Source organism: Homo sapiens, chromosome 9, assembly GCF_000001405.40.
Source record: "Homo sapiens chromosome 9, GRCh38.p14 Primary Assembly".
NCBI classification, from domain to species: domain Eukaryota; kingdom Metazoa; phylum Chordata; class Mammalia; order Primates; family Hominidae; genus Homo; species Homo sapiens.
In genome coordinates this window covers 101,205,928-101,225,001 of record NC_000009.12, presented here as the reverse complement: position 1 = coordinate 101,225,001, position 19,074 = coordinate 101,205,928, and the positions used below count along the sequence as shown (strand labels likewise).

Below are 19,074 nucleotides of genomic sequence, written 5' to 3'. Positions count from 1 at the left end.
TCAAAATGCTTTTAATATTAAGCATTGCAATAAATGTGAACTATACATACATTTAAGAAAGATTAATAAAAAGCTAATTATATACTAAGGGTTGAGGGTTGATATTATTCATCCCAGCAACTGGAGGAACCAGCCCTGGACAGGACGCCATCCCATGGGAGGGACACTCACACCACACCCACTCTCTCAGTCTGGGACCACATAAGCACACCACTTCACCTAATGTGCGTAGCTTTGGGATGTGCAAGGAAGGTAGAGTACCCAGAGAAAACCCACAGACATGGAGAAAGCATGCAAACTTCAGCCAGACTGTGGCACTGACCAGTAATCAACTTTTTTTCCTTATCAACATTGTAATGAAGCAATGTTATTTGAAGACCTGCTGCACAGCTTTTTTGCACCCTCAGATCTCCTCCATTGTGTCTATAAACCCCAACCCTAGGCCTCAGGGCACTCAGAGCTCATAGTGTGTTTTCTTTCCGAAGTGAAACCGTCACCACGATGCCCACTTTATAAGGAAGGAATAAAACACTCTGTGAAAGACTCAATGACAGCAGCCGAGAGCATCATTAACTTTGAGTTCAGTGAAAAGAAGGGAAACAAATTCAAAGTCATCAAAATGGAAGCTTTTAATTGTTCCCCACCATGAACTAAAATGAATGTTCAAAATTGAATAGTGGATCATATCTTTTGGATATGATCCTGGCATCCCCCCTATTTTCTGGCAGAGCACTTTAAATCATTGTTAGTGTGTAATCATCAACAAAAGCAAAGACCTTCACCCAAATTTGTAGAGAATGTCCATTTTTGCAGAAGTTTTCTATTTTCTTCAGCTTCTTACATTGCCAATTGCCAGAGACTATGGCACAGTGGAATATTCTTATTTATTCCTCACAATAGCTCCCCTAGGGAGGCTTGAGGGCTTGTTATTCCATCTCTATAATATGGGGGAGATTTAGCACCAGATATCAAGCCATATGTTATAATACATCATTAATTGAAACAGGAGAAGAACTCGGGCAGAGGTTTCATATTATTACATAATGTTGACACATTTTAAAAAGAAACTAAAAACTATTTGTTTTCTACAATAATGAAGTACTGGTTTGGTTATACACACATATAATGTATATATGTACTTCATATATATATATTTGTATTGGTTTGTTCTCATGCAGCTACGAAGAAATACTTCAGACTGGGTAATTTATAAAGAAAAGAGGTTTAATTGACTCAGTTCTGCATGGTTGGGGAGGCCTCAGGAAACTTAAAATCATGGCAGAAGGCACCTCTTCACAGGTTGGTAGGGGAGAGAATGAGTACAAGCAGGGGAAATGCCAGATGCTTATAAAACCATCAGATCTTTTGAGAGTCACTCACTACCATGAGAACAGCATGGGGGAAACTGCCCCCATAATTCAATTACCTCCACCTGGTCTCTCCCTTGACACATGGGGCTTATGGGGATTACAATTCAAGATGAGATTTGGGTGGGGACACAAAGCCTAACCATATCAATATTCATACATCATTTTCTTTAAATTGATACAACTAAAGTGACTGGATGTTTGATTTTACACTACATTTGCCATTTCATCACTTCCCAGGGGAACTCAAGTTATCTCAAAATATAGCACGATTTCCCCAATTAAGGTTTTTTTTTTTGGAAACAGGGTCTCAGTCTGTCACCCAGACTGGAGTTCAGTGGTACCATCATAGCTCACTGCAAGCTCAAACTCCTGGGCACATGCAATTGTCCCACTTCAGCCTCCCAAATAGCTGGCACTACAGGCTCATCCCATGGTGCCCAGCTAAAAATTTTTCTTTTCTTTTTTTTTTTTTTTTTTTTTTTTGTAGAGATGGGTCTCACTTTGTTGCCCAGGTTAGTCTCAAACTTCTGGCTTCAAACAATCTTCCCACCTCAGTCTCCCACAGCACAGGGATTACCTGTGTGAGCCACTGCACCAGGCCCCACTCCATTTCTTAAATGCGTTTCTTCATACTCTTAGATGGTAGGTTGGGAGAGAAGTAGTCTGTAGCCTCTTTCACTGTCACTAGTTGGGATAGACAACCAAAACACTTAAAGTCCTGGTGCTTTACTTAGAATGTATCATTATAGGTCCTGTTGTCTGTGGGTGAATTAATAAAGGATCTACTATCATGGCGGGGGCGGGGGTTTGCTTTATGATGAATGGTCTCACACAAATTCTATTTTTAGAATGTCGTGACCGACACTATTGTACACCAACAAACTACTGTTCCCATGCAAACTCAGGAGAGACTTGCCACCAACAGCTGGTGTCCTTCACAGCTGTTGACTTCCATACTGTTTTAAGACCTGTCATTCTCAGATAACTTAGACATTTCAGAGGCAGATATGTACTTCCTTCTGAGACTATGGCTTTTAAATCTTTGTTAGTGTAAAATGTCCTTCACAGACACAATCTTACATAGAACTCAAATATTAGAAACATGCTGAAGTGGAGGTACCCTAGGAGAAGCAGTGAAGAAAAAACACACAGGTTGCCTCCTGGTCCCACCTCATACCATCTTTAAGGCTCTCTCTCAGAAGGCTAGCCCTCTGCAGAACCCAATTTGAGGACTCCTGCTCTAGACTATCTGTAGAACAAGCCACATCACATACAATTGCCCATATTCTCTGAGACATATGATGGAAAAATGGTAGACTGCAGAATCTGCCTTTTAGCAAAAAGCATGCTGGTGTGTATTGGCACATCATCTAACAGGAATTCCCCTAGGACACACCAACCTGAGGGGAGAGCTGAGTTGCCTTATGATGGGACTGTCATACATACTGCTGGCTTCCCCAGTTTCTCAGGTGCTACTTCAATTCCCAAGTTGCTGCAGGGCTGCCCCAGCTGCTGCTATATTTCTCTGAGGACTTGGTGTCACTACCTAAAGAAGTCATGCATTGCTCTCCTAGTGAAGAACTTGCTTCACCATTGCTATAGATGCTGTTGTTGTTATATGTTGATGCTGATTTTCTACATGGTCTCTTTACTACTAGAACAGCTAAGGATCCTCTCATTATACAAGGAATTTCTTTTTCCTATTTTCTTTCCTTCTTCCATTCATTTAATCCTCAGAAAAAGAGAAAAGGCTTTGAGTTCTGTCTTATTCAAGTAGTGTTGAGCATATTTCTTGATAAGTAACAAATTCTTAGCAAATGTATATTCTCTGTAAATATATATTCTTCTAAGATATTCACTTTTGGAGACAAAAAGCACACACTTCAGAGTGAAACAGCCATCATTTCAAACCTGTGTACTGCTTCCTGCAGGTGGTATGATTTGGGGCAGTTACTTCACCTCTGAGCTTCCATTTCCTCGTTTTTAAAGCACGGTGGCAATACCTACCTCAGGGTGGTTGTAGAAAGAAATAATATGGTGTATGTGACTGGTGTGGCATGCAGTAAGTGCTCAAAAAAGGTAAGTTCCTTTCTTTTCCCCTTGAAGAATGAAGTGCTGTACTACTTGCAGGGGGTCAGTCTGGCTCTGCCCTTCAGGGAGTCCCTGTGAGCCAGAGGTTCCAGCCATTCCATAGGAGCCAGCTGGGGAAGCCTCTCCAAAGAGCAGGGTAGGACCCACGGATCTGGGTCCACCATACTGTTCTTTACTGACTAATGGGCTGTCCCTGGACACTTATCTCAAGGAGTTTCCAGCAATGTCAAGCAAAGAAAACAGGCCTTTGATAAGAATGATACAATGGATTTTGGAGACTTGGGGGGAAGAGTGGGAGAGGGGTGAGGGATAAAAGACAACAAATACAGTGCAGCGTATACTGCTCAGGTGATGGGTACACCAGGATCTCACAAATCACCACTAAAGAACTTACTTATGTAACCTAATACTGCCTGTACTGCAATACCTTATGAAAAAAGAAAAAGAAAACAGGCCTATGGTAAAGTTGCAAAAATAGAACAGGGAGAGGGGTAGTGTTAACAAAAACTATCAACTGTAGGAGTCATGTTAACATTGTTAACAAAATTGGTGTAGAAGCATGTTATTTGTCCTCAACCCAGCATCCATTTCTTCATCTTCTGGGATTATCGTTCTAACATACTTTGAAAAACCAGTTCTCCTTACTTTTGGCTATATCGTTTGATGGGGATTAACCCTATGCCTTGCTCCAGGGTAGAGCCTTGATTGGCTAAAGCCAACAACATGTTCAACCTTCTAGCTGCAACCGTTGGTTCAGAGATGGGCATATGACTCAATGAGAACCAGTGAAATATTTTTCTGGAGCTTAAGAGGAAAAACAGTTAAATTTCTGTGGAGCTACCATGAAAGTGTGCCTTCTTTTTGGATGGGGTAATATGAAGCTGTATGACATGAACTACTACCACAAGAGGAAAGTCTAGAGCTGCTAGGCCAAGGGGTGAAACATGAGGATAAAGAAAGGGAGCTAAGAAATTAAATTAGGTGGGAGGAGTGTGAGAGGATAAAGTCCATATTTAATGTCTTTGTACTGCTGGATCAAGCCTTATCTTAAGCCTGTATCCATCTGGACTATAAGATTAGGTAAAGCAGTCAGTTTGAAAACAGTTTTCCTGATATTGCTGCTTATTAACTGTGTAACACTTGGCAGGGCCTCAATTTCCTCATCTGAAAGAAAGGATTTAATAACATCCTTTTATAGTTGAAGTGATAAATAATGAGTTAATATATGTAAACCACCGTGCTCAATTAAATGACATTTTTAACATAAAAGTGGTTAGAAGTTCATATAGAAGTATCATCTAGAAGAGTGGTTCTCAATTGAAGCAATTTTGCCCCTCAGTGGACATTTGGCAAAGTCTGGAGACATTTTGGGTTGTTACAACTCAAGGCATTTAGTGGGTAGGGGCCAAGGATACTGCTCTACATCCTATGATGCACAATGCAACCTCCCATAACAAGGAATTATCCAGCCCCAAACATCACTAATGCCAAAGAAACCCAGATCTAGAGAACACATCTACTGATGTCAGTGAAGTGCTCCAGTTGAGGCTTCCATTATTTCTGCCAGAATACTATGGGGAAATGAAAAAAGGACACTGGCACGATGAGCAAGTACATAAGACGGTAACACCAAGGGACAAAACAAAGGGATTCCCTGGCTCTCTGCCAAGGCTATGAGCATTCTACCTGTGAATTTCAGAGTAAATGAAGGTTCTAAGAGCCCAGCTGAGGTAATGCATAGATTAGGGAGCTCTAGAAAGTGTGAGCTTGATTACCCAATTAGAACTGATCGCAGGATAGCAACAAGAGGATAAATACTGTCCAGGTGGGTATGGAGCAAGACATAATCTCAGAACAGCATGTTCCCTGCATCTTTAGGTATTATGAGGAGCAGCACAGTCAAAATGTTGAGAATTTGATACCACAAGTAGAACATCTTAATATCATTAACGATCTACTGACTTCCTGTAGGTAATATATTGTTTTATACTCAAACATTATACACATACATCTCTGTGCTGAGAGAATTTGCAAATTCTGGCATGGCGAGGAAATAGAACACTGCCTAGTTCAGTCTAACAGATATTCCTAGATAGAGAGCAACAAGGTGAGATGGTCCTATAAATCATAATCTGGCCCTTTGTAACAAGGATAATTATCATGAAGTTGCAGAATACTTCCAGATTTCAGCATTAAATGCTTCTTTTCTCACGTACCAGGTAGCTGGAGTGAATTCAGTGTTATGTACCCACCTCCTACACTTGGGGCAGAATTGCTTAAAGTAACCCAACTGCGAACCTCCACGGACCATCTATCTACATGGTGTCTGGGAGCCCCATCCACCTACAGTGAGAGGTGAGGACAAAGGCAAGGACAAGCTTTAACAGAAAGCTTCCGTAGCATTAATGCTGATGCTGTGTGACTTCTCTTCCCCTTTCACAGTAGGGGAGAAGCCGGATGGAGGAGCGTGTTCATGACATGGCCGGTTTAAAAACTATCCTTTCCTCTGTTCCTCTGCTGACTCAGTCAATTTCCCTAAAGGACATATAGATGTGTGTGAGTGTGCATGTGTATATGTATCTGGTGGCAGCTTTAATTATCACCGCTCATTACCTTTTTCCCTGTGCTCATTTTAATTGTCTCTGTGACTTTCCTTAGCAACTTATTTGAAAGCATTCCAGTAATTCTTTTCCCATTTCTGTTGGTGAAATCTTTATAATAGTCTTTTTATTATCCGTGTTTTAATGGTTTTAGTTTGCTACCTGCCAAGATTGCTGTAGTCTTAATCATTACATTTTAAAAGACAGCTGTTAGAAGTTTCTTTAACTGCACAAATAACATGTTAACAGCTGAACTAAAAATGAAATAAACTTTTAATTTCCCATGCTTTGCTAATAAAAATAGTAATAATAACAATAATAGCTACCATTTGAAAGCTTACTATGGGCAAAGCACTGCACTATGCCCTATATATTTTTCATTTAAGTGTCACATCCTTATGAGATAGGGAGTATAGTGTTATCTACATCTATTTTGTAGAAAAATAAACTGAGTCATAGGTCAAGTACCTTGCTCAGGGTCATGTCAAGTGGTGCTCTGTCAAACAAGGAGTGGCCACATGTCCCACCCAGAACTAGACTGATGTCAGAGTTGGAACTCAAAGACTGTATTCTGATTCTTTCCTCTGTGGTTTCTTCCAATATTTATCATTATGCATACAATAGTTTTTATATTATTGCAAATACAGCATCGACAGACTTTATTGCTTATTCTTTCCACTTAACAGAATACTGAAAACACTTTCCAAGATGCTATCTCATATTCCCAATGTGGATCATTTTTGATCCACATTGATAGCATATTCTTGATATACTATCAAGAATAGTGTATTCTTCCATAAAATTGATAGATCGTACTTGAATTGAGCATACTTGTGTTATATGATATTTATGTGGTTTTTGGTTTTTCATCTTTTAAAAGAATCTAGTCATGTATATAGCATTTTCTAATTTTGATTTATTTTTTGAGATAAATTCCTAGGAGTGAAGTTACTGAGTCAAAGGGTAAGTGTCTTTTTAAATAATTCTTCAAATGTGTTCTTCAAATGTTTTCCAAAATTATGCTTGGAGTGAGCATTTCTTGAGATACTAGGTTTATCATGATTCTATTAATATAGAAATTTATCATTATTTTAAGTTTGTATTATTTCAGTAGTCATTTTCTGTTAATAGGCAATTGTTTAAGAATTATTGAGGTTGGACAATTCATTAATATATGGTTATTTTCAATTTCTATAAACATTCTATATCATATAGACAAAGAATCAACAAACTATGGCTCATGGGCCAAACCTGGTCTATTGCCTGTTTTTATAGTTTTATTGGAATACTTCCACACTCATTCATTTATGTATTATGTATGGCTGCTTTTGCATACTACAACCACAGAGTTGAATAGTTTCAACAGAGATTGTATGGCCCACAGGTAGAAGTGACTATATAATTTACAGGGTCCAGTAAAAATTGAGAATGTGGAGCCCCTTGTTAAACAATTAATGGGAATGTTAAGACAGTGACAGCAGAAGTTTCAACCAAGTGCAGGTAACAAGTCCATGAAACTGTCCCTGCCCACAAGGCCTAAAACATTTATAATTTGGCCCTTTACCAAAAAAGTTTGCTAACCCTTGGTATATATGTTTAATCCTAAATCTGTTATAATAGGTTCAAATGTCTTCTTTTTCTATGATTTCCCTTTTTAATTATGACATTCATGTCAAAACACTGATTTTTTTTTAAGCAGGGCAGTGATTTTTTTTAATGTGATAGAATCTTCAGATAATTTCTTTCAATAATTACTACCTCAAAGATCAGACAGTTGAATCTATTCTCTTCTGGTTATTTTTAATGATATTACTTCATATATTTAATTCTATTCACAGCATTAATTTTAATGTATAGTATTAAACATGGGTTATACGCTAATCTACTTTAAAATTGAGAATCACAACTCCAATTGTAAATATTTTCCTTATTCATTGCTTAGTAATGCCTACCTTACCATACATGAATTTCTTATATATAACTGGTCAATTTTTGAGCTTTTCAACATATTTCATTAATTTCTGATTCTATTTTTTGTTCTTTAGCTCAGTGGTTCTCAACCAGGGGTAAATTTTCTACCAAGAGCACATTTTTGGTCATCACAACTGAAGGAGAAGGTGCTACAGGCATTTGATGAGTAGAGTAGAGGCCACTGATGCTACTGAACATGTTACAATGCACAGGACAGCATCCACAATAAAAAATTATCTGGCCCCAAATATCAATGGTGCTGATGTTGACAAATCCTACTTCAGCTTTGTATTTTATTTACTGATGTAAGTACCTTAAGTGCCATTAAGGGCAGATTCTCTTCCTAATTTCTGTTTCTTTTCAAAAAATTTATTTGCTTTTGTAAAATTCATTTTGTAAATGAATTTTAAAACAGCTCTGTCAAATGGGATCACATTAATCTAAAAAGCTTCTGAGTAGCAAAGGAATCAATCAGCAAAATGAAGAGACAACATTCAGAACGGGAGAAAATATTTACAAACTACCCATCTGACAAAGTACAAATAACCAGTCTATCTAAGAATTCAAACAACTCAAGAGGAAAACAAACAAACAAAAAAATCCAATCAAAATGGGCAAAAGATCAGAGTTGACATTTCTCAAAAGAAGACATACAAATGGCCAACGGTTACATTTTAAAAGTGTTCAGCATCAATAATCATCAAAGAAATGCAAATTAAAACTCCAATAAGATATCATCTCATACCAGTTAAAGTGGCTTTTACCCAAAAAATAGGCAAAATGAATGTTGGCAAGGACATGAAGACAGACAGTAACAAATACTGGCAAGGATGTAGAGAAAATGAAAAACCTTCATACACTGTTGGTGGGAATGTAAATTAGTACAACCACTACAGAAAACAGTATGGAGGTTCCTCAAAAAAACTAAAATTGGAACTATCATATGATCCCGTAATCCCACTGCTGATATATATCAAAAAGGAAAGAAATCAGTATATCAAAGAGATAGCTACACTCCTATGTTCATTGCAGCACTATTCACAATAGCCAAGATTTGGAAGCAACCTAGGTGTCCATCAGCAGATGAATGGATAAAGGAAATGTGGCATATATACACAATGGTATATTATTTAGCAATAAAAAAAATAAAATCCTGTGATTTTCAACAACATGCATGGAACTGGAGGACATTATGTGAAGTGAAATAAGCCAGGCACAGAAAGACAAATATCACATGTTCTCACTCATACGTGAGAGGTAAAAAAAAATGAAAAATGAGCTAATGGAGATAGAGAGTACAATGATGGTTACCAGAGGCTGGGAAGGGAAGCAGGGAGGAGAAGATAAAGTGAGGATGATTAAATGAGTACATAAGTACAGTTAGATAGAATGAATGAGGCCAGCTGGGCGCGGTGGCTCACACCTGTAATCCCTGCACTTAGGCAGGGGGATCACGAGGTCAGGAGTTAGAGACCAGCCTGACCAACATGGTGAAACCCCGACTCTACTAAAAATAAAAAATTTGGCTGGGCATGGTGGCGCACGCCCTGTGATCTCAGCTACTCAGGAGGCTGAGGCAGGAGAATCCCTTGAACCCGGGAGGCGGAGGTTGCAGTGAGCCGAGATGGTGCCACTGCACTCCAGCCTGGGAGACACAGCAAAACTCTGTCTCCAAAAAAAAATAAAAAAAGACCTAGTATCAGGTAGCACAATGTTGCTGCCTGCCTACGTTGCTAGGTAAAGCTTTCTGAACCTCTCCTGGTTCTGAGCACTGGACAATTCATAAATCACTGTTTCTTTGTTCAGATAAACTCTGCTAAATTTAGTTTGACTAAAGTTTTTCTTTTAACATTTCAAATAACTTTACTATTACAAACATAAAATTTCAGGAGAGTTTATCTGGTCCCTTTAGCTTTTTTCTTTTCTTTCTTTTTTTTTTTTTTTAATTTCATGGAGTCTTACTCTGTCACCCAGGCTGGAGTGCAGTGGCGTGATCTCAGCTGACTACAACGTCTGCCTCCCAGGTTCAGGTGATTCTCCTGCCTCAGCCTCCTGAGTAGCTGGGATTACAAGTGCCTGCCACCATGCCTGGCTAAGTTTTGTATTTTTAGTAGAGACAAGATTTCACCATGTTGGCCAGGCTGGTCTTGAACTCCTGACCTCAAGTGATCTGCCTGCCTCGGCCTCCCCAAGTGCTGGGATTACAGGCATGATGCACCGCACCTGACCCCTCCTTTAGCTTTTCAAGCTATAAAGTAATATAGTTTGTTGATTCTTTCCAATGTTTATTTTTGTTTAGTTTTGAGAGCATAGGGTTGGACTTCCAAACCAATTTAATGAATAATGCTGATAGAATTAAAGGTGTGAATTATTTCTCAATTGAGCAAAATGTTCTTTAGAATATTTATCATTTAAGTTAAAAATAACAACTTTTAATGACTTTCTGAATGAAAATTTAAGCTCCAGATTTTTGTCTTAAAATACTTACTACTGGCGTTTTGATTTTATTACACAGTACATTCACGTGTGTGTATATGTGTGTGTGTGCATGTGTATATATCTACACACCTATCACATATATAATAAACCTCTAAAAATTAATGTGACATGACAAAGTGCTGGGTATGTGCTAGCTAGTTAGAATATGTTGGCAGTGCCATGATGTACTTAAGCTTATTGAAGTATAAGGAGCTATTCAAGGATATAAGGTACCTCTGTAGCAGGTCAAATTGTAATTTTCCCCAGCATTCCTGCAGAATGTGATTGATTCTTGAATGGACTTGAACAAAAATATTTCTGACCTAATCCTCAGTCCTTCAGTCCTTCAGTGATAGCAATCCCTAAGCTCCCTTTTTTATTACCAGCATCTGTCTTGTCACCTCATCCATCTCTTTATACAGATTTTTCTGGAGGCCTTACAGAGCAGTCAAGAGTGACTGAATTGCACATTCTCTTCAGAGATCAGAACTGTAGCCAAACACTTCTCTGTAAACTGACCCATGTTCCTGGTTCTTTCTATGAATATAAGGAGTCATAGAAGTTTGCATTAAGGGATACAATACTGATGAAAGAAATTATTTAATTCAATTATAACCTTTATTTCTTTCAGTATTTAACCTTATGTGAATTACATTAAGACAATGATACATTTGCATTTGAGGGGCTTATGATTAAACTAAGTTTCCCTCTGTTTTTTTCACAGTGTATTTTCCTTGTTAAGTACCAAACATCAGCTTTAGAATCTGATTGGCAATATGGAGGAATGGAAGGATCATAAAAATGAATTGCAAACCAAATGGTATAAAGTAGGAATTGATAAAGAGTATCCTATAAACAAAATGCTAAGATATATCCTAAAGACTCAGGTGGTCATAGGTTTTCCCATGATTGCTCCAGATAATGGACATGAAAGCACACAGTAACCATGTTTAAACCATACCTTTTAATTTATAAAGTTGACATTGAAAAATGACAGAAAGGTAATGTATTTACAAATTTTATATGCTTCTGCACTTTTACTATTTTAATAACCTTAGAATTTCCACATAATATGAAATTTAAACAGATTCCTTATTTTGAATTTAATATAGTGCTTTTAAAAAGTATTTTTAAGGATTTTATCTCTTTCTGGTTGCTTACTTAAACTATGTTATGCATTTTTGGATATTCAAATAAGCTCTTGATTTAGTAACTAACATGGATCAAATGTTTAAAGGTTTGAAGAGGTATAAAAATGGCTAAACTATTATAAAAATTCTGATAAACTGTAGAAGAATGGTAAGTTTGCATTAAAGGAATGATCGAGTAGACTATTAGATAGGAATAAAACCACCATGAATTTGAACCCTAGTTTCACCATTAGCTATAATCATCTTGGGCAATTTAATTCACCTCTCTATATTGCAGTGTCCTCATCTGTAAAGTGAAGGCAATAATAGCATTCACTTCATAGGCTTGTTACAAGGACTAAAACAAGTTAATTTATGTAAACTATTTATGACTACAACAGGCAGAGAACAGTGAAGAATGAGAATGACTGGCATAAAAGAAATAAAATACTCTAGGGCAAACTGAGTGGCACTTCTAGATAAAAATACTCAACAAGCTATTACCAGTGAGGAAGAGAATTACACAGGAAACGTGTTACAACTGACAACATCATCATACACTTGTACTCAATCCTCACGTTACAGATATCTCTCATTCCTTTCAATATAGATATGTCTACCATATTCAAAGAAGACAACTTCCTATATAGTTACACAATGATCCTTGATAACTCAGAGAATATACATCTGACAATACCTGTTTATATAATCTGAAACCTATAGTTATATACTGACAACAGTGCATTTTTCTCTCAAGAGTTTGATCACTGGACTCATTATTGTACTAAGAAGAATGATGTTGGAAATTACATTTACCATAAGATAAAATATGCAAATATTTTGACAATTATTATTATGATCTTCTGGAATCATGTATGTTACTCTGTATATAGCTGGCATTTTGATTTACTACTATCAGATTTTAGGGAAGAGAAGGCATCTCAAAAGCAACGGAATGTGAGTGAAGAGCAAAAGATGTGGCCGGGAGTGGTGGCCCATGACTGTAATCCCAGCACTTTGGGAGTCTGAGGCAGGCAGATCACTGGAGGTCAGGAGTTTGAGAACAGCCTGGCCAACATGGTGAAACCCCATCTCTACTAAAAATACAAAAATTGGCCAGGCATGGTGGCACATGTCTGTAATCCCAGCTACTAGGGAGGCTGAGGCAGGAGAATCACTTGAACCCAGGAAGCAGAGGTTACAGTGAGCCGAGATCACACCACTGTACTCCAGCCTGGGTGACAGAGCGAGACTCCATCTCAGAAACAAACAAACAAACAATAGCCAAGATTTGGAAGCAACCTAGGTGTCTAAGAAAAAAAAAATCTCACAGCAAAAAAAGCAAAGGATGTAGTGTTAGAACAACTTGAATTTGAGCCCTAACTTTACCATTAGCTGTATAATCTTGGCCAATTTAATTCACCTCTCTGTATTTGTTTCCTTGTATGTAAAGTGGAGGTGGTAATAATATCCATTTCATAGGCTTGTTACAAGGATTAAAACAATTTATGTAAAATACTTAGCTCGGTGCCTGATATATAGTATTAGCTGTTAGCTATTATCATTTATAAATGAAAGATCCATTTTTAGTTTGGATTCTAAGAAGAAAGTTACTCCTTCTGTCCAAAAGACTAAAATCTTTTCATCATATGAGCCCATTAATAATAAATCTCCCAGAAGAACTGAAGTCACAGAGAGGGACAGAGTTGCTTTAAGAACATGCCAGGCCTAGTGTTAAGGAGGTGGGCCTAACTAGTAGAATTCAGATTTGTTTCCCAGAATGGACACAACTGAGTAATTAGCTCATTTATAGAATATTTTCTGGCCAAAGACCACCAGGAAACCCCTAGAGTTGAACCAAGTTTGGTTTGCTTGTTGCAGCAAGGGATGATGCACACCATGGGACTGTGTGGTCTTAGATATCTCAGTCACTCATTAGATAAGACAGGTAAATGTTTCATATTTTTTGATTTGGACAATGTTTTCTCTGTTTTCAGATGTGAATTCAGAGTAGTCTTGTTTTTGTCTTGATCCATCATGGTCATAGAATAGCCTTGTTTGATGATGGTGTGTATGAAATGTTTTGTGTTCATCTGAGAACACCAAGGCCCGGTTGATAGTACTAGGACAGCTCCTGGGTGGCAGGGGCTGCCTTTTTTTCTTACCATCTTAATGAATCTTATTTCTGACTGAGTAGGTGACCCCTTGTGAAATCCCCTATCTTTTCTGAACATTAATTTCAGCATCAACATCTTAATTCTGAACTTAACCAGGGGCAATAAAACCATAATTATAGGCCGGGGGCGGTGGCTTACGCCTGTAATCCCAGCACTTTGGGAGGTCGAGGCAGGTGGATCGTGAGGTCAGGAGATCGAGACCATCCTGGCTAACATGGTGAAACCCCGTTTCTACTAAAAATACAAAAAATTAGCCAGGCGTGGTGGCAGGCGCCTGTAGTCCCAGCTACTCGGGATGCTGAGGCAGGAGAATGGTGTGAACCCAGGAGGCGGAGCTTGCAGTGAGCTGAGATCGCGCCACTGCACTCCAGCCTGGGCGACAGAGCGAGACTCCGTCTCAAAAACAAAACAAAACAAAACAAAACTGTAATTATAATAATAGGATGAATATAATATTAAGTTCAATTACAATTAAAAATGGAAGGATACCCACTTCCATGGTAAAGATAAAGCAGTAGATTGCATTCTTCTTCTAAATTCTAGATTTTAAATGCCTCTCCATTTTTATCAACAAAATTGATCAACATAAATGTGTCAAATCCATCATATTCATATGACGCAAGGCCAAATTTTGAAGAAAAATTGATTGGAGACTATGAATCCTCTTATAGTCTGTCATAAAGAATGAGAGAAAGAAAAAAAAGTCAAGTACCCCCTGCAGAAGACTCAAGAGAGTGGGTGGGAATGGCGAGGCACAGACTTGTCTTCCCAGTCTGTTGTTTAACCACTGCTTACTTCCCATACAAAGCCCCACAGAGCCCAGGGAACCCCTGAGCCCCTGGATTAAGGATTCCTAAGTTTCTGGTGTTATTATCTTCTCATACTCCTGTCTTATACCAGATGATCTCTGCAGTACTCTAAAGAAATAGCAGGGGCTACATTAATTTCTTCAAGGTATATGCAATTCATACCTCACTAAGCCAGAAGTACTTTTGCTATGACAAAATGCCACTGTATATTGTACTGCAGCACTAGCCACTATTTGTAGTGTTAGCAAAGCATGGTTGATGACCACAACTTAAAGCAATTATCAGGACATAAAAAAATGTATGTAACATTTGGTTTTATAATTCTAAAAATAATCCTACATCTGAAGGAAACTTACAAGGTTATGAAAGTAATCCATATACTTCCAGGAAGTATGGCTCATTTTTCACATCTAAGACAACATTATTCCTGGGCTTATACCTGGGTTAACAGTCACTGCACAATCAAACTGTCTGCAGGAATCAATGTCAATCTTGAAGACAGAGCAAATGATTAGATCAGCGAGGCTGTGACCCAGAACATAGCTGATGTGCTATTTTTAAAACTTCTCGCTAAAAAATTATCCACATTTGCAGTAATTCGTTAGAGTGACTACCTCAGTAGCTGAAAAATGAACAAACCCGGAATAGTCAGATTCCTTGACATTGATTTGATGTGGAAATCAAATAGTTTGGCTAGCAAGAAAACTGCAGTGTCAATTACTCAAACTATGTTGCAGGTTTTACCCTATTCATCTTCATGGTTTAAAACAAACATCAGTCCCTCATGTGATTGGTAGATCCTATCTTTCTAATGAATAAACAATAAAAAGGGGGCTTTATAAAGGGAAGAAGCACAGATTGTTGGGCTGTGGAGGTGCTGATGGACTGAAGGGGCCAAGAAATCCAAGAAACGACCCTAAAGGGAGTGATAGATAAGGAGCAAAGGTGTTTCATTCATTCCACAATTAAGGTTGGTCCTGTCTATAACACAGCTACGCTGAGTTACCCACACATATCTGCCAGACGGGAAAAATTCACAGAGGAAAAAGTCCACCTCTTTGAATCCACAGACCTCATGCTTAGTTTATTCATTTCATTTCAGAGAAAGCTTTGTGGAGAAACTCACATAGTTTCTGTAAATGGAACACAGAACACACACATTCTCAAATATTTATGCTTGTTACAATCACCTGGAGGGCTTGTTAAAACACGAATTACTGGGCCCTACCCCACAGACTTTCTGATTCATTACATTTGAAGTGGGTGTTGAGAATTTGCTTTTCTAAAAAGTTCCCAGGTAATGATGATGCTACTGGTCTGGGACCCCACTTTCAGAAAAACAATTTTTTAAAATGAATTCTTTCAGTTTATTAGTTTCTGAGCTGAGGGTAGGCCTCCTTTCTTGCCCAATACACTCCACATGTGCTCAATAAATGACAGTAAGTGAATGAGGAAACCAAGGCACAGACAGACTAAATGGCATGCCCAAGTTAGATCCTTCTTTTCTCTTAGCCTGGCCAAAGGTGGGAAGCACTAAAGGATGTGGAAGTGGCCAGTATGATCTGTCTCTGTAAATGTGAAAGGTACCAAATTACAATGAATTAGAATTTTTGTGGGTCTTTTAGAAAACCACTCCAAAGGCTCCATTATAAATGTTCTATTTCCTTTTTCTGACTGCTGTGAAAAAGAAAACTTAGTGGAATTACCTTTACAAATGTATTAATTTATTCTACCCCAAGGATATTATATTCAGTGATTTGGCAAAACTAATCTGAACTAATAACAGGCACATTTGCTGAGACTAAGCAAATTTTCCAGTAGAGAGCTACTTAGCCACTTGGAACAAATGAAGGTTGAAGTATAAAGATTAAAGAATAGCTGTAATGTCCAAAAGAGGTAAGAGTGTTTACAGAGACATCAGCACAAATTGACGAAAATGCAAAGCCTAGGATGTTAACAAAGAAAACTATCACCAAGGAGTGAAAAATTCACCAGGAAATTTTCCATCACTGACAAATGCTCAGGTTCAAGAGACATTCTCCATGTGTGTCTCCAGAGGACTTTAATCACTGTGTGACAACCACACCTTCTCAGAGCCTTTGCTTCTATCCAGTGGAGTCAGGCAAACAGTGACTATGCATTCACTTCTACACTGTCCCCTTAAAAATCCTAAATCTATTCCATAGATGAAAATTGAAATCTCACAGCCTACTGGAACCAATATAAATGAGTAAAATTGGGAGAATATAAGGTAACAGGTAGTAGTGAGACTTGGCTAACCAAAAAATATATGCTCCCTTTTAAGGGGGAGCTGCACCCCAGCTTTAGGATATTGTTGCTCTATGGGATGTGATCCCAGTGTTACCAGATCTTTCAACTTTGCAGGAGGCATCAGAATTTGGATTTCCTGATAAGCACTGTGTGACCCAAATGAAATACGTTTGTAGGTAGAATAGGACCTCTAGCTTTTCATTTGAGACCTTTCCTTAGGCTCTTGGAAGTCCTTCTGTGGTCCTGTTTACCTAGTTCTCTTATAATCTCCTTCTGGATATATATTCTGTCCTCTAGTCCCCCCAGAAGCACTCTTTCTTTTTTCAAAATCTCTCAGAGGCACAGAATTCTTCTTCCTCTAATTCTTGAAGGACCACACAGGTAGATAATGGTTCTATCAGGAATTGTCTTTGACTACTTCATATGCCAAAATACAGTCCATTAGTGATGGGTTTGTTTTCCACGGTGAATGGGGGTGGCCCAGTATCATACAGCCTCGTAAGGGGAGCTGACTTAAGGAGAAGACACTTAGGTTCTATCTGCCCTAGCCAACTTACTTCTCACACCCCCACTTCATCTCAGGCCCCTGGAACGACTTTCAAAAAAATGCATCTGGGCTCTAAGAAAAAAGAATACCCAATTGTTCAGAGCATGAAGACTGCCAATCCCCATTCGGGCTTTGAAAAAAACTGAACTAAGGAATAAAGGGTTTGAAGACAGCTTTGCTTCGTTCTTCCAATTTAGGTACAACTAAAGTGTAGAGGGCAATAATAATACTGCAGGTAATCTGGTCTAATGCTTCTAGTTCCTTTCCTGTCTCATTTTCCTTCCTTTTTTAAGAGGAATTAGTGAGGGGAAAGAAAAAGTTTGAATATTTAGATTTTTTTTAAAGGTTTATCTACTCATTCCCTGAGCCAATATTTATTCAGTATTTTGCATTTGTCAGATATGGAGTTTATAGTCTGTGAAAGATATATACACACAATAAAAAAGTAGGCAAATAAAAATTAAGATAATTATAAATTATAAAAGGTACAATCTGGAAAATAGGATAATGCAAATCACAGAGGAAAAATATCTTAGTACTTATTGCATGTTTATATTCCAAACCTAGGGTGGAAAGGGGTAGGTGATGTCCCTTTTTGAAGGATTTCAGTGCCAGGGGTTATATTCCCTATAAGTCCTGGCTTGGCAATGGAGGGGTTTCTCTGGTGGTCCACTCTATGCCATTAGAAAGGATGTCAAGGTCCTGGTGGTGCTTGAAATCTCTTTGGCCCTGGTGCAGCTTGGTCCTTGAAGCAGCTCTGAGTTCTGGAGGAATGAGTACTTTCAGGTATGGATAGTAGTTACAGGGAAAATATAATTAGCTCACATATGGGTAGACATTCAACAGATGAACAGGAAAACCTACCTAGGTGTTGTAGTTGGGAGCTGAATCAATTTTTCATGTCCAACCCTTTTCAAGAAGAGACTCTGCTGGTAAGTGAGCCAAGTTTAAACCAATCCTGTCCTCCATCCCCACCTCTGCCCCCTTGCTGTGGATCAAGAGAGGGTTGGGCAATGTGCCCACAACTCAAAAGCACAGAACAGAAAAGGCACCTAAACAGCAAGCAGAGAGCTCAGACTCTGGGAGAAAGCTCAGGCTGCAGAGTAGAACAAATGGAGTCTAGGGTTAATAGATCAAAACAGCAGGCATTTTACTATGCATTTTCAGATATAGTCCTACAGCATAATCTGTACTCAAAGGAGAACTTCCAGAAAGTTAACCATCAGGTTGAGAGTATGAACCTGGAAATCACATGTGTATTGTGTATGTCACAAGACTTGGTCCTGAATATCTTCCTGTCCTGAGTATGAGTATGGATTCAAACATTCACAGATAATTGTTGTATTTACAAAGTCCTAAGTTTAAAAATGCCTCCCGAAATCATTACAGGTCAATAGTTTTAAAATCTTTTTCAATCCCATCATTTTTGAGAAATGAGCTAGTTCCCCTAAATTCTGTATTCACTAAGACTTTAACAATTCTCCCATTTGCCAGAATCTTTGGGGCACTGTGATGGTATAATTTGTGGGCACACTCTCCCCACCCTCATGACTGTCTTACCCTCTTCCCACCATCAGTTGACAGTCTCTCTGAGGAGATATAGATCATATCCTTCTTCCCAGTTATAGGA

At 38.4% G+C, this 19,074-nt stretch overlaps 1 protein-coding gene and 1 long non-coding RNA gene across 5 annotated transcripts in view; one reads left to right on the top strand and one right to left on the bottom strand.

The window, feature by feature from the left end:
- PLPPR1 (phospholipid phosphatase related 1) overlaps nucleotides 1-19,074 on the bottom strand; it is a 296,409-nt gene that overhangs the window by 100,134 nt on the left and 177,201 nt on the right. The gene's annotated exons all lie outside the window — the stretch shown is intronic.
- Nucleotides 1,248-8,280, top strand: LOC105376183 (uncharacterized). 3 transcript variants are annotated; one of them, XR_001746861.2, is made up of 4 exons: nucleotides 1,248-2,839; nucleotides 3,302-3,449; nucleotides 5,681-5,816; nucleotides 8,107-8,280. It is a non-coding gene; the product is annotated as an uncharacterized LOC105376183 (long non-coding RNA). The 3 variants fall into 3 exon arrangements; XR_001746859.2 differs by having other exon boundaries at nucleotides 1,248-3,449; XR_007061703.1 differs by having other exon boundaries at nucleotides 1,248-5,816.